The sequence below is a fragment of the Homo sapiens genome, chromosome 21 (genome assembly GCF_000001405.40).
Source record: "Homo sapiens chromosome 21, GRCh38.p14 Primary Assembly".
Classification (NCBI taxonomy): domain Eukaryota; kingdom Metazoa; phylum Chordata; class Mammalia; order Primates; family Hominidae; genus Homo; species Homo sapiens.
The window spans coordinates 37,099,576-37,120,452 of NC_000021.9; the positions used below are offsets into that span (position 1 = coordinate 37,099,576).

The 20,877-nt window shown below is 39.7% G+C and overlaps 1 protein-coding gene across 10 annotated transcripts in view, besides 2 other annotated features; it reads left to right on the forward strand.

The window, feature by feature from the left end:
• TTC3 (tetratricopeptide repeat domain 3) overlaps positions 1 to 20,877 on the forward strand; it is a 129,865-nt gene that overhangs the window by 26,322 nt on the left and 82,666 nt on the right. For all 10 annotated transcript variants that reach the window (NM_001320703.2, NM_001353936.2, NM_001320704.2 and 7 more), the window contains one exon: positions 8,817 to 8,871. In NM_001320703.2, the coding sequence (NP_001307632.1) occupies positions 8,817 to 8,871 (55 nt within the window). The remainder of the gene's footprint in view (positions 1 to 8,816; positions 8,872 to 20,877) is intronic.
• Positions 17,784 to 17,928: an enhancer, noted in NCBI's record as "145 bp enhancer 103 fragment used in the MPRA reporter construct; PK_construct_2836". NCBI's record gives its function as "activates an SV40 promoter by MPRA in HepG2 cells {active_cell/tissue: HepG2}" and the evidence as "EXISTENCE:reporter gene assay evidence [ECO:0000049][PMID:23512712]".
• Positions 17,845 to 17,868: a transcriptional cis regulatory region, noted in NCBI's record as "GFI1 motif; enhancer activity is reduced when this motif is scrambled". NCBI's record gives its function as "necessary for full MPRA enhancer 103 activity {active_cell/tissue: HepG2}" and the evidence as "EXISTENCE:site-directed mutagenesis evidence [ECO:0005528][PMID:23512712]".

Consider the following 20,877-nt stretch of genomic DNA (forward strand, 5'->3'; position numbering starts at 1 on the left):
CAGGACATGTAGATTAAAAACTACGAGTTTCTCATTTATACCCATCAGATGGACAAAAGCTTAAAAATCTCATAATACCAAGTGTTTGAGAGGATGTGGAACAAAGGAGACTCTCATATTCAGCTGGAGAAAGTGTAAATTGGTACAATCACTTTGGAGAGCAATTTGACAAGGTGAAGATGTGCATACTCTGCAACCCACTTCTAGGCTCATATCCTCTGAACTCTCAAATGTGTACCCAAGAAGATATGTACATGCCTTCATGATAGCATTGTTTGTAAGAGTAAAGAAATGAAAACGACCTAAATGGCCATCAATAGGGGAATGGATAAATATGGTATATTCATACAATGGAATTCTATATGGCAGTTAAAATGAACGCAATGTTGAGTGAAAAAGCAAGTCACAGAATGATTTGTACACTGTGATGCCATTTATTAATGTTTAAAAACATGCAAAACAATATGCATATATACAGACTGTGTATTAACAATGTTTAAAAATGCATGGGCATGTTAAACACCCGGGGAGTGGCTGGGGAGAGAAGGAGGGAAAAGGGATTGGAGTTGGGAGGGGTGGTACACGGTGGGTGTCAACTGTAACAAACTACTACAAAAAGAGCTGAAGTATATGGCAACATGTTAATTTCTTGCTAAGGTGGTATGCCATTGGTACATGGGTGTTCATTTTGTTAATGTTCTCTGTACTTTTATGTATACTTGAAATATTTGATAAAAAGTAAAACAAAATGTAATTAAAATGCACATGATAAAAGGAACAGAAAAAGAACAGAAACAGTGACCACTAAACATCAAGGATAAAATAGTGAACAATGATCTTGAAAAGAGAAATATAAGTATTGTAAGGCCAGTTGCAGAAGCGTGAAGTGTGCATGGGGAAGCCTGAGGTGAGGTATATATGGGGAAACAGATGCTTCCTTCTGGTGGCAGTGGCAGTGATGATTTTAATGCCAAAATAGTCATACAGTTTGTAAATCCAACCACTTTTGGGTGAATATAAGTTAGGCCAAGAGCCTTTCAAAACCCCCCTGGGCCTGCGAATGTTGCGCTTGGAAAACGCAGGAGATGGGGTTGGAATGAGGCAGGGGTTGGGGAACTGCGCTGCCTCCTGCGCCCCCACTCCTGCCGCAGCCTCTCCCCTTCAAATCTTCACATTGAGGATTGTGTTTATCCCAGGACACCTGGCTTAGAAGATGAGATGTCCGTTTTATTCTGCTCCTTCTCAAAGTGTACTTTTCAAATATGAGTTGGTAACTATAGGGCATTTGAGAGTGATCATTGTAATTATAGTAATCAGAACTTTTCAGTTTAGTCAAGAATCTGGACAAAGGAATCAGTCATATCTGTACCTTCTGCAGTTCCAACAGCTTATGTAATGTACATGATTAGGCTTTGCCCACTTAGTGTTCAGTTCATTCTTGTGAGACTCGTGGAAAATTCAGATTCTTCGGTGGGATGTGATGAACTGTGTAAGGGCAAATGTTAATTGGAGAAAGTGAATGCTTAGCTTGAATCGTTTTTGAATTGCTTTGGAAACTCATGTATTTTTAAACTTGGTGTTTACTTGAACTGTTGGTATTCATTTAAGTATTTACCCATCACATGATAACTGCCTTCCATCAGATCCCAACTGTGATTGGTAGCAGACAGATAGACTTTAACTAACTCTTCTCTTGTTGCTTTTTTTCCCCCCTAAATTTCTGGAAGACTAGAGATATAAAGCACTGTATGTTTCTGTGAGAATTTCACAAATTCTTGTGTGTGTGTGTGTGTGTGTGTGTGTGTGTGTGTTGGTTTGGTGAATTATTCCTCACTCTGCCCTCTGGTGTGTGCTCTTTATTTTTACTTAGAGCCACTGAATTTGCTTTTGAAGAAAACATTTACTTTTTTCAGTCTTCTTTGGGGTATACCCCCTTTTTAAAAAAACAGTAACAAATGCACATGGTAAGCAACAGAGTAGGAAAAGGTACACTCGCCAGCTCTGACCCATCCTCTGATTCATCTCTTCAGATCCTTGTGTATTCCCATAATATTTTATGCCTATACAAGCATTTATGTTGAACCAGATGAAATTGCCATTTTTGTAAGTCAGAATATAGGCAGTTTTATTTGGTTTAATGTAATGTATATGTCTTTTTCTTTAAATGGGTAGGAACATACTACATACACTGTTGTACATCTTGCTTTTTTTTTTACATTTAAGTCTTGGAGCTTGTTTTGGATCTGTATATAGAGACCTACCTTGTTCTTCATGGCTGCACAGTGTTTTACTGAATGGATTGCCTATGTAATCCATTAGTTTGTATTATATTAGTATATAGTTTATATATATATATTAGTTTATATTAGTATATAGATTATTTTATTTACAATGTTAAATTATAGATATATTAGTATGTAGATTTCCATTTTAAAGATTATATATACCTATGCAATGATTATCTTTTTACTTATGTTTTACACTCAGGTTCAAATATATCTGTAGGACACATTTCTGATAAATTTATTTTACTCATGATATATGAATGAAAGAACATATCATTTTAATTACAGACACTTTTTATTTAAAATGTATGTTTATTCAGTCCGTGGTTATTACTCACTGCATATTTGTCAGTGACTGACCATTATACCTGAATCTTGCTTTTGTTCCTTAGTTGGAAGATCTGGAAACTTGGGGAATAGTTGTTATTTCTTTATTGATCTGGTCATATCCTGAAAATAATTATAATTGAGGAAAAAAGGAATATCCCTTATATGGCTTGCAAAATTCTTGCATACTTTTTATGGTATGGTTTAAGAGAGTCAATAAATAGCATCTCCTTTCCCTTCCAAGTCCAGAATCAGTTAAAAGATGGATGGAAAAGACAGGCAAATGGTGATCAAATATTGCCTTTATTACTGATGCAATTGGAGAACAGGCCTTAAGTCTGATAGTCAAGGGGCTGGTTACTATTAGGTTGGTGCAAAAGTAAATGTGGTTTTTAGAAATAATGGCAAAACCCCTAATTACTTTTGCACCAACCTAATAATTCACCCACAGTCAGACAGAACTGGGCTCTTGGGAACTTTAAGCCTGGAAGAAAAGGGAATCTGGTGTTTTAGATTCCAAAGAGTAAGGCCAGGTGCAGTGGCTCGTGCCTGTAATCCCAGCACTTGGAGAGGCTGAGGCGGATGGATCACTTGAGGTCAGGAGTTTGAGACCATCCTGGTCAACATGGTGAAACCCTGTCTGTACTAAAAATACAAAAATTAGGTGGGCATGTTGGTGCATGCCTGTAATTCCAGCTACTCAGGAGGCTGAGGCAAGAGAATTGCTTGAACACAGAAGGCAAAGGTTTCAGTGAGCTGAGATTGCGCCACTGCACTCCAGCCTGGGCGATAGAGTGAGACCATGTCTAAAAAAATAAAAGGATTCCAAAGAGTGAGAAAAAGAAGAGGTGAAGCCATGTATGATTAGTGTCCCTCCCTCACCATTAGATAAATTATTATTCATCATCTGGGGATGTTAGCCAAGGGTGGGGAGAGGAAAGAGTTCAGGAATAATTAGCAAATCCACATGGAAACTAGGGGAGAGGGAATAACTGTTCTTTACAAGCATCATCTTTTAGGGCAGAATGTAGCATATTTTATATGCAGTAATGGGGAGGGGCTGGAGAAATAAAAACACTTCCCTATGTAAGAGCAATAAGTTGGAGCACCTGGACTAGAACTCTCTTTCTTACTCTGTTTAATACTCACCATGTCACACAGTCTTCAAGAGTAAATAACCGTTTGCATCTGGAGTCTTGTCCCATTTTCATACATCTCTTGCACAGGGGATTGCTGCTACCAAAAGTCAAACCTGATTATTTAGACCCTGGGCTGCAGTGGTCTGGATGAGCAATAGCATCATGTAATTGACTATGCCCACTTTGCCTTAGTTGTAGGATGTGGTCATATGCCAGTAAATGTGAAATTTTATTAGTATTAATATTAATTGCATTCATATACTAATTGTGATATTTATAATATATGCTATTATAACGCTGTTTGTAGTGCTATATATTATAAGTAATGTTCAGCATTGATTCAACAAATATTGGGGTTCTGTTGATGGATAATGTCAGAAATGAGCAAAAACAGCCTCTGTGTTTCAGACAGTGGGCTGGCATTGTGAGGGCCTTGTAGTGGGAAGGAATTTGTTGCATTTGTGGAACTGATAGTTGCTAGATGGCCTGAATACAGAGGAGAGGGTAGTATGTTCATAGGCTAAGCCAAGGAGGGCCTTGTAGGCTGTGTTAAGGCTTTTGGCCTTTAAGAGCAATAAGAAAGTAAAGGATTTTAAACTGAGGAGAGAGAGCATGATTAGCACTTAAAAAAAAAATTTGAGCATAGTGAAAATGGATCTGAAGGGGATGTAGTGTGGATGTAGGTTAGGAGGCTGTTGCAGTAGCCCAGGCCAGAGATGATGGCTTCCAGCAGAATATTGACAGTGGGAATGGAAAAGTAGAAGGATTCAAGAGTTTAGAGGTGAAGCTGACAGAAGTTGCTCGTGGTTGGTGTTGGAACTTGAGAGTGAAGGTGGTTGGAACTGTTCTGACGTTTCTGCCTTAAGCAGCATCATGGATTATGGGCCTACTCACTCACATTGGGATTGCTGGAAGAGGAATAAATTTGTAGGAGGTAGAACTGGACTTCACTCTCGGACACTGAATCGAAGTGCCTTTGAAGGCCAGGCATGGTGACTCACGCCTGTAATCCCAGCACTTTGGGAGGCCGAGGTGGGAGGATCACCAGAGGTCAGGAGTTCGAGACCAGCCTGGCCAACATGGTGAAACCCTTTCTCTACTACAACTACAAAAATTAGCTGGGCGTGGTGGTAGGTGCTTCTAATCTCAGTTACTCGGGAGGCTGAGGCAGGAGAATTGCTTGAACGTGGGAGGCGGAGGTTGCAGTGAGCCAAAGTAGCGCCATTGCGCTCCAGCCTCGGCGACGAGCAAAACTCCGTCTCAAAAAAAAAAAAAAAAAAAAAGAAAGAAGTGCCTTTGAAGCATCCAAATTCCAATGTTGTGTAGGTAGTGAGTTATATGGGTCTGGAACTCAAAGGAGGGTTTGGATGGGAAACATGTTTGGAATAGCCAGCCTCCATGATTTGAAGTTGTAGATGTGGGTGAGACTGCTTACAGAGAAGTTTTTCTCAACCTGGACTGCACTTTGGAATCACTGAACTTTGACAAATACCACCCACCCCAGAGATTCTGATTCAATTAACCTAGAGTAAAGCTTGGGCATTGGGCTTCTAGGAACTCCCCAGATGGTACTAATGTGCAGTCACGGTTGAGACCCACTGGCCTAGAGAGAACCTAGGCTGAGACTAGGAGAGGAATCAGGATTGAGCCTTGAACACATATGGCCAATTGGAGAAGGATGAGCCTGCCCAGGAGATTATTAAGATGTGACCAGAGAGGTGGAACAAAGACTAAGTGTGGTGTCATAGAAGTAAGTAAAAGAGTGGTCAGCAGTGTCTGTTGGCTACTGAGAAGCCAGTTACAGTGGAACTTAGATTTGGCAACATGGACATCATTCACTAACCTTAGGGGGAGCTGTCAGTGGGAAGCTTGAAACATGCCAATTAGATGGGGTTGAGAAATGCAAGGAAATGGAGACAGCTAGCGTAGGCAGCTTTTAAAGGTGTTTGGGGAGAGAGACCCAGGGTGAGTCTCTTTAAATGGTAAAGAAAACTTACCTTATTCAAGAGTTCCAGAAGAAGGTGGCACTAGGGTTGTATATTCAGTGGCTCAACAATGTCATCAGAGACTTAGATTTTTCCAGCCTCAGTGTGTGACTTGGTCCTCAGGCTGTCCCCTCAGAATGTAGGATGGCTGCTGTAATTCAGACATCTTTAGCAGAAGAAGGACAACTTTGTCTTATGTCCTTTAAAAAAAATCTTAATACACATGCTGAAAAGTATACAAGTGTTAAGTGCAGCTGGAATTTTCAGAAGTCAAACAACTGTAACCAGCATGCAGATCACAACCCCAGTACCCCAGAAGTTCCTCTTAGTCATGACCCTCCTCCTAGTCATGATCCATCTCCTCCCCCAGGAGAACTACCATCCTGGCTTCCAGTGGTTAATTTTGCCTATTTTAGTACAATGTAATGAAATAATATACTATGTGTTCTTTTATGTTTGGTTTTCAGCATCGTTTTTGAGATCCATATTGTTGCATGTAGTTGTAAAGTGTTCATCTATTGCATGAATATACCACATTTTATCCATTCTATTGTTGATGGGCATTTGGGTAGCTTCTCCTATTTGGCTTTTACAGGTAGTATTGTTGTGAACATATGTATTTATTTCTGTTGAGTGTATAATTAAGGAGTGGAATTGTTGGGACAGAGGGTATGCTTATATGCATTTAGCTTTCCTGTGTGATTGTATCATTTTGTACTCTTACAGCAGCATATGAGAATTTCAGTTCTGTGCCCTCAACACTTACTATTTTTCATCTTTTATTTTAGACATTCTGGTGGGTGTGTAGTGGTATACCGCTGTGATTATAATTTGTATTTTCATAAATTGATTAAGGATGTTTCAGATTTTCATAAGGTTATTGACCATTTGGATATTCTCTTTTGTGAAGTGCCTGTTGAAGTCTTTTGCTATTTTTTTCTCTTGAGTAGAATGCCCTATTCATTTTTAGGAGTTTTTCTTTTGTATTCTGAATATGAGTCATTGGTCAGATATATGTATTGCAAATATCTTCTCACATTCAGTGGCTTGCCTTTTCACTGTTGATGTTTTCACAAACAAGTTACTAATTTTAATGTAGTACAGTTTATCAGTTTTTTCCTCTGTGATAAGCTCTTTTTGTGTTCTGTTTATCATCTTTACCCATTCAAAGGTCACCAGATTTTCTATGTTTCATCTAAAGGTTTAATTGTTCAACTTTGATGTACAGATCTGCAGTCCATCTGGACCTGGTGTTTGTATTTAGTGTGAGGTAGTGTTCAAGATTCATATGGGCCAGGTGCGGTGGCTCATGCCTGTATTCCCAGCACTTTGGGAGGACAAGGCAGGAGAATTGCTTGAGCCCAGGAGTTTGAGACCATCCTGGGCAACATAGTGGGACCGTGTCTCTACAAAAAAATTCAAAAATTAGCCAGAAATTAGCTAGGCATGATGGCATGTGCCTATATTCCCAGCTACTCAGGAGGCTGAGGTGGGAGGAGCGCTTGAGCCTGTGATGTCAAGGCTGTAGTGAGAGGGACTGGCACTGCACTCCAGCCTGGGTGACAGAGTGAGCCCTTGTTTCAAAAAAAAGAAAAAAGATCCATATGGATGTCCAATTGACCCAGCACCATTTATTAAAAGAGTATATTTTCTCCATGTACCGCAGTATCACCTTTGTCACGAATCAGGTCATTATGTGTAAGAATCCATTTCTAGTTTCTCTGTTCTATTTTGTTGGTCAGGTTGTCTATCCTTATCTAGTTGGTTTTTTTTTTTTTTTGTACGTAACCTTTTAGTAGGTATTGATATCTGGTAGTATAAGTTATCTAGTTTTGTTCTTCCTTGTAATCTCTTTAAGAGTGATGAATTAGCATAAATATGAATGTGAAATGATGAACCAGCAAATATTAATCTACGTTGAAAAAAGAAGGTGGATAAGTCAGTGAGTTGGGTACCCTGAGGAGATAGGAACAATTGAACAAGTTAAATGGGATAAGCAAGGTTATAGTGAGAGGTGGATACCTGAATTAGTGATTGAACAGTTTGAAGTTTGAACAGTTTTGAGTTTGAACACCCTAAGTTCCAGGGGTGCAGTGATGGGTGGCTGAGTTGGGCTAGAGGTGGAAGTCATTGAAGATAAGGAAGCCAGGAAACTGATAGACTGTGGTATGGATCTGTTAGTTCTTGATAGGTTATGAAAGTACATTTAATAATGTAGTATCTAATTTAATATCTACCTCAGAACAGGTAGAACAGAATTATTTACATTTTACAGATGAGAAAAATGGGCCCAGAGATGTTAATAACTCCCTAATAGCCCCAAGAAAATTAGTGATTAAATTAGACCTAACCTGGGTCTTATGGTCTAGCTTCCATGCTCTATTCAGTGTAGCTTAACTGATGTTGTGTGAAAGACCTGGTAGTGATACATTTGGAAAGTCTTACTGACATGCAGAAATAGTACAGAAAAACATACAAATAGGAATGTTATTGGCTGGGCATGGTGGCTCACACCTGTAATCCCAGCACTTTGGGAGGCCAAGGCGGGTGGATCACAAGGTCAGGAGATCGAGACCATCGTGGCTAACATGGTGAAACCCTGTGCCTACTAAAAATTCAAAAAATTAGCCGGGTGTACTGGCATGTGCCTGTAATCCTAGCTACTTGGGAGGCTGAGGCAGGAGAATCACTTGAACCCGGGAGGCAAAGGTTGCAGTGAGCCAAGATCACGCCACTGCACTCCAGCCTGGGCGACAGAGCGAGACTCTGTCTCAAAAAAAACAAAAGAATGCTATGCATAGGTACAATGTCGAAATGTGCAAGAAATACTTCAGAAATATTAAAAGTAGTTATTCCTGGGTAGTTGTGATTGTGACTCTGGGTGACTTTTTCCCTTTGTTTTATTTTTCTGTATTTTCCAAATTTCCTATAATGGACATATATTATATGGATTTTTTTTAATTAAAATTATCTTTTGACTAGATAATATACATGGAAAATTCACAAAGTACACATATGCAAGATATAATACTTTTACTATAAAAGAGTGAAAATTTTTAAATACTTGTTTTTCCTTTTAGAAATGCACTCGGTGATGGAAAGAGAGCCACTATTCTGAAGAACACTTGGCCAAAGGTAGGTTTCTTCTGTATTTTATATTGAGCAAATAATGCCATACAACATTGTGAAAAATCTGTTTATAGGGTGTGTTTGTTCATAAAAATGCTATATGAAATTACGTAGAGCTCCAGAATGTGAAAGGGGAGTCATCAGATCCATGATCAGCGTGGGGACCCAGCCACAGCACTGACAGGCTGTGCGTGAGGACAGGTGGCCTGTGGGCATCTTGAGTCTTCAGGGTGCCTTAGTGATTGAGAGGTCATCTCTGCGTATTCTGGGTGGGTGTGCCTGAATGTGAAAAATGACTTAAAACTGGGGAGGAAGTATAGGAGGCTGTCTTTATAGGAGGCAGGAAAAGATTTCTTAACACACAGTGCACAAATCAGCAGTGAAGACAACCATCTTGATATATTTGGCTATATCGAACTTAAAAACTTGTGTATGTCAAAAGGCACCATAGATGAAATAGTAGTTTGAGAGGAGATAATTTGCCACATATATAACTGGTAGGATTTACAGCTGGAATATGCACATAATTCCTAAAGTAAATAAGAAACCCCGTAGAAAATGGGCCAGTAAAACAAGTAAGCATTTCACAGAAGAGTAATCCTGAATGGCCAATAGAAATAAGAAACTATTTCGGTAGGGGTGGAGCCAAGATGGCTGAATAGGAACAGCTCCAGTCTACAGCTCCCAGCGTGAGCGACACAGAAGACAGGTGATTTCTGCATTTCCAACTGAGGTACTGGGTTCATCTCACTGGGGAGTGCTGGACAGTGGGTGCAGGACAGTGAGTGCAGCGCACCATGTGTGAGCTGAAGCAGGGTGAGGCATGGCCTCACCGGGGAAGCGCAAGGGGTCAGGGAATTCCCTTTCCTAGTCAAAGAAAGGGGTGACAGATGGCACCTGGAAAATTGGGTCACTTCCACCCTAATACTGCGCTTTTCCAATGGGCTTATCAAACGGCACACCAGGAGATTATATCCCGCACCTGGCTCGGAGGGTCCTACGCCCATGGAGCCTCGCTCATTGCTAGCACAGCAGTCTGAGATCAAACTGCAAGGTGGCAGCGAGGCTGGAGGAGGGGCGCCTGCCATTGCTCAGGCTTGAGTAGGTAAACAAAGCAGCCCAGAAGCTCGAACTGGGTGGAGCCCACCACAGCTCAAGGAGGCCTGCCTGCCTCTGTAGGCTCCACCTCTGGGGGCAGGGCACAGACAAACAAAAGACAGCAATAACCTCTGCAGACTTAAATGTCCCTGTCTGACAGCTTTGAAGAGAGTAGTGGTTCTCCCAGCACGCAGCTTGAGATCTGAGAACGGGCAGATTGCCTCCTCAAGTGGGTCCCTGACCCCCGAGTAGCCTAACTGGGAGGCACCCCCCAGTAGGGGCGGACTGACACCTCACACGGCCGGGTACTCCTCTGAGACAAAACTTCCAGAGGAACGATCAGGCAGCAGCATTTGCGATTCACCAACATCTGCTGTTCTGCAGCCACTGCTGCTGATACCCAGGCAAACAGGGTCTCGAGTGGACCTCCAGTAAACTCCAACAGACCTGCAGCTGAGGCTCCTGGCTGTTAGAAGGAAAACTAACAGAAAGGACATCCACCACCAAAAACCCATCTGTACGTCACCATCATCAAAGACCAAAGGTAGATAAAACCACAAAGATGGGGAAAAAACAGAGCAGAAAAACCTGAAACTCTAAAAATCAGAGTGCCTCTCCTCCTCCAAAGGAACGCAGCTCCTCACCAGCAATGGAACAAAGCTGGACGGAGAATGACTTTGACGAGTTGAGAGAGGAAGGCTTCAGAAGATCAAACTACTCCGAGCTAAAGGAGGAAGTTCGAACCAATGGCAAAGAAGTTAGAAACTTTGAAAAAAAATTAGATGAATGGATAACTAGAATAACCAATGCAGAGAAGTCCTTAAAGGACCTGATGGAGCTGAAAACCACGGCACGAGAACTATGTGACAAATGCACAAACCTCAGTAACCGATGCGATCAACTGGAAGAAAGGGTATCAGCGATGGAAGATGAAATGAATGAAATGAAGCATGAAGATAAGTTTAGAGAAAAAGAATAAAAAGAAACAAACAAAGCCTCCAAGAAATATGGGACTGTGTGAAAAGACCAAATCTACGTCTAATTGGTGTACCTGAAAGTGACGGGGAGAATGGAACCAAGTTGGAAATATCTGTAGGATATTATCCAGGAGAACTTCCCCAATCTAGCAAGGCAGGCCAACATTCAAATTCAGGAAATACAGAGAACACCACAAAGATACTCCTTGAGAAGAGCAACTCCAAGACACATAATTGTCAGATTCACCAAAGTTGAAATGAAGGAAAAAATGTTAAGGGCAGCCAGAGAGAAAGGTCGGGTTACCCACAAAGGGAAGCCCATCAGACTAACTGCTGATCTCTCGGCAGAAACTCTACAAGCCAGAAGAGAGTGGGGGCGAATATTCAACATTCTTAAAGAAAAGAATTTTCAACCCAGAATTTCATATCCAGCCAAACTAAGCTTCATAAGTGAGGAGAAATAAAATACTTCACAGACAAGCAAATGCTGAGAGATTTTGTCACCACCAGGCCTGCCCTACAAGAGCTCCTGAAGGAAGCACTAAACATGGAAAGGAACAACCGGTACCAGCCACTGCAAAAACATGCCAATTTGTAAAGACCATCAAGGCTAGGAAGAAACTGCATCAACTAACGAGCAAAATAACCAGCTAACATCATAATGACAGGATCAAATTCATGCATAACAATACTAACCTTAAATGTAAACGGGCTAAATGCTCCAATTAAAAGGCACAGACTGGCATATTGGATAAAGAGTCAAGACCGATCAGTGTGCTGTATTCAGGAAACCCATCTCACGTGCAGAGACATATAGGCTCAAAATAAAGGGATGGAGGAAGATCTACCAAGCAAATGGAAAACGAAAAAAGGCAGGGGTTGCAATCCTAGTCTCAGATAAAACAGACTTTAAACCAACAAAGATCAAAAGAGACAAGGCCATTACATAATGGTAAAGGGATCAATTCAACAAGAAGAACTAACTATCCTAAATATATATGCACCCAATACAGGAGCACCCAGATTCATACAGCAAGTCCTTAGTGACCTACAAAGTGACTTAGACTCCCACAGAATAATAATGGGAGACTTTAACACCCCACTGTCAACATTAGACAGATCAACGAGACAGAAAATTAACAAGGATATCCAGGAATTGAACTCAGCTCTGCACCAAGCGGACCTAATAGACATCTGCAGAACTCTCCACCCCAAATCAACAGAATATACATTATTTTCAGCACCACACCACACCTATTCCAAAATTGACCGCATAGTTGGAAGTAAAGCACTCCTCAGCAAATGTAAAAGAACAGAAATTATAACAAACTGTCTCTCAGACCATAGTGCAATCAAACTGGAACTCAGGATTAAGAAACTCACTCAAAACCGCTCAACTACATGGAAACTGAACAACCTGCTCCTGAATGACTACTGGGTACTTACGAAATGAAGGCAGAAATAAAGATGTTCTTTGAAACCAACGAGAACAAAGACACAACATACCAGAATCTCTGGGACACATTCAAAGCAGTGTGTAGAGGGAAATTTATAGCACTAAATGCCCACAAGAGAAAGCAGGAAAGATCTAAAATTGACACCCTAACATCACAAAAGAACTAGAGAAGCAAGAGCAAACACATGCAAAAGCTAGCAGAAGGCAAGAAATATCTAAGATCAGAGCAGAACTGAAGGAAATAGAGACACAAAAAACCCTTCAAAAAATCAGTGAATCCAGGAGCTGGTTTTCTGAAAAGATCAACAAAATTGATAGACCGCTAGCAAGACTAATAAGAAAAGAGAGAAGAATCAAATAGACACAATAAAACATGACAAAGGGGGGATCATCACTGATCCCATGGAAATACAAACTACCATCAGAGAATACTGTAAACACCTCTACGCAAATAAACTAGAAAATCTAGAAGAAATGGATAAATTCCTCGACACATACACTCTCCCAAGACTAAACCAGGAAGAAGTTGAATCTCTGAATAGACCAATAACAGGCTCTGAAGTTGAGCCAATAATTAATAGCTTACCAATCAAAAAAAGTCCGGAACCAGATGGATTCACAGCCGAATTCTACCATAGGTACTAGGAGGAGCTGGTACCATTCCTTCTGAAACTATTCCAATCAATAGAAAAAGAGGGAATCCTCCCTAACTCATTTTATGAAGCCAGCATCATCCTGATACCAAAGCCTGGCAGAGACACAACAAAAAAAGAGAATTTTAGACCAATATCCTTGATGAACATTGATGCAAAAATCCTCAGTAAAATACTGGCAAACCGAATCCAGCAACACATCAAAAAGGTTATCCACCATGATCAAGTGGGCTTCATCCCTGGGATGCAAGGCCGGTTCAACATATGAAAATCAATAAATGTAATCCAGCATATAAACAGAACCAATGACAAAAACCACATGATTATCTCAATAGATGCAGAAAAGTCCTTTGACAAAATTCAACAACGCTTCATGCTAAAAACTCTCAGTAAATTAGGTATTGATGGGATGTATTTCAAAATAATAAGAGCTAGCTATGACAAACCCACAGCCAATATCATACTGAATGGACAAAAACTGGAAGCATTCCCTTTGAAAACTGGCACAAGACAGGGATGCCCTCTCTCACCACTCCTATTCAACATAGTGTTGGAAGTTCTGGCCAGGGCAATCACGCAGAAGGAAATAAAGGGCATTCAATTAGGAAAAGAGGAAGTCAAATTGTCCCTGTTTGCAGATAACATGATTGTATATCTAGAAAACCCCATCGTCTCAGCCCAAAATCTCCTTAAGCTGATAACCAACTTCAGCAAAGTCTCAGAGTACAAAATCAATGTGCAAAAATCACAAGCATTCTTACACACCAATAACAAACAGAGAGCCAAATCATGAGTGAACTCCCATTCGCTATTGCTTCAAAGAGAATAAAATACCTAGGAATCCAACTTACAAGGGATGTGAAGGACCTCTTCAAGGAGAGCTACAAACCACTGCTCAATGAAATAAAAGAGGATACAAACAAATGGAAGAACATTCCATGCTCATGGGTAGGAAGAATCAATATTGTGAAAATGGCCATATTGCCCAAGGTAATTTATAGATTCAGTGCCATCCCCATCAAGCTACCAATGACTTTCTTCACAGAATTGGAAAAAAACTACTTTAAAGTTCATATGGAACCAAAAAAGAGCCCACATTACCAAGTCAATCCTAAGCCAAAAGAACAAAGCTGGAGGCATCATGCTTACCTGACTTCAAACTATACTACAAGGCTACAGTAACTAAAACAGCATGTTACTGGTACCAAAACAAAGATATAGACCAATGGAACAGAACAGAGCCCTCAGAAATAGTGCCACATATCTACAACTATCTGATCTTTGACAAACCTGACAAAAACAAGCAATGGGGAAAGGATTCCCTATTTAATAAATGGTGCTGGGAAAACTGGCCAACCATATGTAGAAAGCTGAAACTGGATCCCTTCCTTGCACCTTATACAAAAATTAATTCAAGATGGATTAAAGACTTCAATGTTTGACTTAAAACCATAAAAACCCTAGAAGAAAACCTAGGCAATACCATTCGGGACATAGGCATGGGCAAGGACTTCATGTCTAAAACACCAAAAGCAATGGCAACAAAAGCCAAAATTGACAAATGGGATCTAATTAAACTAAAGAGCTTCTGCACAGCAAAAGAAACTACCATCAGAGTGAACAGGCAACCTACAAAATGGGAGAAAATTTTTGCAACCTACTCATCTGACAAAGGGCTAATATCCAGAATCTACAATGAACTCAAACAAATTTACAAGAAAAAAACAACCCCATCAAAAAGTGGGCGAAGGATATGAACAGACCCTTCTCAAAAGAAGACATTTATGTAGCCAACAGACACATGAAAAAATGCTCATCACTGGCCATCAGAGAAATGCAAATCAAAACCACAGTGAGATACCATCTCACACCATTTAGAATGGCAATCATTAAAAAGTCAAGAAACAACAGGTGCTGGAGAGGATGTGGAGAAATAGGAACACTTTTACACTGTTGGTGGGACTGTAAACTAGTTCAACCATTGTGGAAGTCAGTGTGGCGATTCCTCAGGGATCTCGAACTAGAAATACCATTTGACCCAGCCATCCCATTACTGGGTATATACCCAAAGGATTATAAATCATGCTGCTATAAAGACACATGCACACATATGTTTATTGTGGCAGTATTCACAATAGCAAAGACTTGGAACCAACCCACATGTCCAACAATGATAGACTGGGTTAAGAAAATATGGCACATATACACCATGGAATACTAAGCAGCCATAAAAAATGATGAGTTCATGTCCTTTGTAGGGACATGGATGAAGCTGGAAACCATCATTCTCAGCAAACTGTTGCAGGGACAAAAAACCAAACACCGCATGTTCTCACTCATAGGTGGGAATTGAACAATGAGAGCACATGGACACAGGAAGGGGAACATCACACACCGGGGCCTGTTGTGAGGTGGGAGGGGAGAGGGATAGCATTAGGAGATATACCTAATGCTAAATGACGAGTTAATGGGTGCAGCACAGCAACATGGCACATGTATACCTATGTAACAAACCTGCACGTTGTGCACATGTACCCTAAAACTTAAAGTATAATAATAATAATAATAATAATAATAAAGAAACTATTTCTATTTCCTAGTAATTAAAATTGTAGGGATTTGGTACACAGATAAAAGAATGAAACCAATAGTGCAGAATAGAGGGCCTCCACACAGAACCCACTATGTGAGTAAATATTACAATGTCATATTGTCTGAGTCCTTCAGATTGGCAGAAATTAAAGAGGCTGATAGTCTGGTGTTGGTGGGTATGTGTAGTAACAGGAAGCCCCAGTAAACTGGTGGGAGTGTGATTGCTTACAACCAAGTCAGGGAGCACTATAATAGACTCCACAGTTACTTGATTCTGAGTGTGTGTGCTCTAGAAAATTTCTTGCAAATGTGCACATGGTTTGATATGCAAGGTTGGTCATTGCAGCATTGTTTTAATGGCACACAACTGCAAATACCTACATGTCTATTGATAAAGCAGCAGATAAATGTGGTATTTTCACTTGATCAAAGTTGTTACTCTGACCTGTGTGATCTGTCCCCGTCTTGAACACTTGTTGTTTCTCCAACCTCACTGCTCCTGCTCTGTCCCTGGTTCACTTTATCTTGGCCTCTTGGCATCCTCACTGTTCCTCAGACATTCCAGGCCCACTTCCACTTTGTACTTGCCCTTCCCTCTGCCTAGAATGCTTTTCCCCAGAGCGTTGGCCAGCCCCCTTATTTCTTTTCAGTCGATATTGAAAGGACTCTTCTCAGTGAAACATTCCTTGGCCTCATTACTAAAATGCCAAACACCTCACTTCCTACGCATTTCTTATCTTCTTTCCTTGCTTTACTTTTTTCTTCTTAGGACTTACCATTATCTAATACATTATATCTACTGTTTGAGTTATAGTGGCTATTGTGTGTCTTCCAGTATAATATGAGCTCCACAAGGAAAGATTTTTTTGGTGTTTGGTTCACTTCACTCTTGAATCCAGACTGTCTGACAAGCTGCCTGACACTTACTTAGCAGGCACTCATTAGTAAATAATTGTTGACTTAGTGATTGAATGAATCAAATAGTAGATTGCAGTTGAATTAGCTGGCTTATCAACATTTATGGATTTTAAAAAGTTAAATGAAAAAGTCAATAAAACATAGGCTGGAAAAATATCTATCGAGTTCATGATAGTGTTTGCTTCTGGGCAGTAAGAGAGGGAAAGGAGATTGGAGAGGGTACAAAGGAGATTTCAGCCATATCTGTATCATCAGAAATAGTTTTATTTATTTCATTTAAAAATCAGAAGCAAATATAACAAAATGTTAACAGTTAATTCTGGGTATCTGTGTATTAGTCTCTGTATTTTCCTAAATTATAAAAATATTTTTTTTTTAAGTGAAGCTTTAGATGCCAGGCATGATGGCTCACACCTGTAATCCTAGCACTTCAGGAGGCTGAGGCGGGCAGATCACTTGAAGTCAGGAGTTCCAAGACCAGCCTGGCCAACATGTGAAACCCCGTCTCTACAAAAAAATTTTAAAAAATTACTGGATGTTGTGGTGCATTCCTGTCTAGCTACTCAGGAGTCTGAGGCAGGAGAATCACTTGAACCCAGGAGATGGAGGTTACAGTGAGCTGAGATCACACCACTGCATTCCAGCCTGGGTGACAGAGTGAAACTCCATCTAAAAAATAAAAAAATAAAAATAAATAAATTTTTTTTTAAGTGGAGCTTTAAATAAGATATAGAAAGGCACATGTATTTCATACTTCATTCCTGGTTTTACGTAATTTAAAAAAAGCTAGTGCAAGTAGAATCAGAATTTGAAGGCCTTAGGGAATTTAGTCTAATTTGATACTTCCATTACTGCTCTGCGGATAGCCTTCATTAGATTAATTGTAGGAGTTTATTTTGTTTAATTTTTTTAAATGAACTTTATATTATAAATATCACATGATTAAAGAGAAAAATAGAATATAGCAAGGTATAAAGTAAAAGGGAAAAGTCAGCCTGGAGACCTTGTTTAAAAGACAGATTTCTTCGCTTTTCCCCCAAATTGTGATTCAGGTGGCCTAGGAATGTATCTAGGAGTGTGGAGATTGTAAAATTCCCCAGGTGGACTTCTGCATCCAGATTTTAGAATCATTTTTTAAATGCCTTATTTTACACATGAAGCAATTGAGTCCCAGAGAGGTAGAGTGATTTTTGCAAGGTGTCATTGCAAATAAAAGACAAAACTGGTGGTTCTGTTTGAGGGTGACCAGTTTGTTGGTATTTTCATTATGAGTCATTCTTTTGCTTGAAACAAAATCTTTGCTGATCCTTGAACCTGGTGTTTGACAGGTGCTATATCAATATTTGTAAAATGAATGAATGAATGATAGAATTCCAAATACTGAAACCCAAACCATGATACTGGTTTTCCAGAAATACTTCCTGCTATTTTAATATATTATCAATTAAGAAAAACAGTTATTAAAACTTTTTGAAGACCTGGCGCTCACTCCTGTAATCCCAGCACTTTGGGAGGGCAGGACGGGCAGATCCCTTGAGTTCAAGACCAGCCTGAGCAACATGGCAAAACCATATCTTTACAAAAAATTAGTTGGGCATGGTGGCATGTGCCTATAATCCCAGCTACTTGGGAGGCTAAGGTGGGATAATCACCTGAGCCCAGGAAGTATGAGGCTGCAGCGAGCTATGATTGCGCCACTTCAAAAAAAAAAAAAAAAAAGAAAAAAGAAAAAAACTTTAACAATTATTTTGAGAACTTTGTGGAGAATACTTGTTCCTGGCTTAGTTTCTTAAACAAAATATTCACTTTTTTTTTTAAATTGGAATGTTTGGTGATGTCCAAACATCCCTTCTCAGGGGATACTCTCTTTTGTTGCCTTGTATTGGTGATGTGTCGTATGATTGCAGAAATATTTGTATAGATAAAAACATATAACCACTAGTAAGTATTTTAAAAATTTGGTAACTACATAACTAGGTTATTTTTCTTTTTTTTTTAAAACCAGAAAAGAATGCTTATTAAAGGATAAACTTCAGGAGCAAAAGTAGATCATACAGGGTATATTTACTTTTATAAGATTGCCTTACTTTAGAATTAATTATGAGCCTGAGTCTATGGAGTCATACCTCTAAGATGTAAGTGTGTTAGTGGAATGTATTCTGTAGATTTCTATGTGAGGGTAGGACATTTTTTTCCTTCTTCTTAATGGGGAAGATTAGTACAGTGCTACCTGTCTCTAGACTCACTTTCAGGATTTAGAAAGAATGAGTCATTTGTCCTGAAGAGTGAGAATTTTTCTTAGCCTCAACAGATATGTTTGTGCAGGTCTGTGAGCATTGTGTTTTGATCTATATCATATAGGATACAAACTAATAACCTCAGAAATGTCCTCAAGAACATTTAAATTTTGAGGGGCGCATTAGGACTTTTGTTGTGAATGACAGAAACTGAACTCAGATTTGATTTAAGTAGAAAAGGGAATTAATTGGCTCATGTAACTGAGAAGTCTAGGGGTTAGCTTCAGGAATGGTTGGATCCAGATTTGTACACATCTTTCTTTCATTTTCTCAACTTTGCCTCCCTGTTTGTCAGCTTCATGTTTAGTCTTTTTTCTAGCTTCCCTCTCTGATTTTTACATGGATTCTCTTGTTATGTCTTCAAGCTCACCCATCTTTTCTTCTGCAGTGTTTTATCTGCCTTTATTTCCATCCAATGTACTTTTCATCTTAAATGCTATAGTTTTCATCTCTAGAGGTTAAATTTGGGTCTTTCTTGCATATTTCATGTCTTTAACATATTCCATCTTTCCTTTCACCTCTTGAACACATAGGGGATAGTTATAATAAGTATTTCAATGTCCTTGTCTACTAATCTGTGTCATTTGTGGGTTGTTTTCAGTTGGTTTATTTTGCTGTTCATTATAGGTCATATTTTCCTGGTAATTGTAGATGGATGCCAGATATTGTGAATTTTACCTTGTTTGGTGCTGGATATTCTTGTTTTTCTTTAAATATGCTTGATCTTTGTTTTGGGATGCAGTAAAGTTACTTAGAAACAATTTTAATTCTTCAAGGTTTTAAGATTTTTTTTAGGCGGGACTATAGTGGCATTTAATCTAGGGCTAATTTTTTCCCCACTACTGAAGCAAAACTTTTCTGAGTACTCTACTTGAAGTAGAGAATTCACCCCATGAATTATGGTGTTTTTCACTCTTGTTGATAGGAACAGGAATTATTCCTGATTTGTTTCCGTTCCGGCTCTTGTTCCCTGTTAACCTTTCAGGTTGTTCTTTCCCTGGCTGTGGACCGTTGTCCCCCAGGGATGTGCTGATCAGTACTTAGCTGAAGACTCAAGGGGTCCCTCTGGAGTTCTCCCTGTGTGCAGCTTTCTCTTCTCTGGTCCTCTGCTCTGTGAACTCAGCTGCCTTGGTCCTCTGTACTCCCGCTTCTGTCTCCTTAACTGAGAGAGGCTGCCAGTCTCTGCCTAGGTTTTCTCTTCCCATGCTCTGGCTTAGAGACATTCTTATCAGTAAGCGGGATCAATCACAGGGCTTACTTTATATGTTTTTCATACTCTCTTTTGTTGCCTTGTTTTCAATGTCTTGCAAGCTGTGGTTTCTTATCTTTTGTCTTTGTTTTAGGTAGGAGGGAAAAATCAAGTCCTTATTACTTCATTTTGGTCAGAAGTGGAGGTTAGAGTGTAGGCGCTCTTGGTTTTATTTTTAAAAAGACTTTTACCATGTAGTGGGATCTGCAAACTGATGTCATGAGTAGCTGTTAATTCTAGGAAAAGGAGACCCTCTCTCAGTGTGTGTACAGTAGACCTTAGGGATGCCTCAGACTGATTCTGATTGAGTCATGTGCCCACCTGTGGATTTATTGCTTTGACCTAGAAAGTAGTGCATTTCAATTGGCCAGTCTCCTGGGTTACAGCCACACTTCCACCGTGCCGTCCATTGTTGGGGTGGAGCACTGGAACTGACAGTCCTGCTGTTACTGTGAGAAGTGGGAACATGGTGGTCTCCTAAGTGAGGGGAGACTAGAGAGATGAGCAAGAGGGAATTTCCACATGTGTGATAGAGAATGAGATAGTGAAAAGACCTTTTTATTGTAATTGGGTTTCAGAAACTCTGAGATACCTTTAATTTAAGCTTCATTGAAATAACTTCAGTAGGGAGGTCTGAATTAAGTCTTTTCTCAACTAACAGGAGTTACATTATGTTTTATAGGGTTCAGGGAAAAGGATCCAATAAAAGGTGAGAAAAGTATGGAGAAAAGAGAAAGAAATAAAGTTCTCTGCAAATTTAGTAGATTTGGTT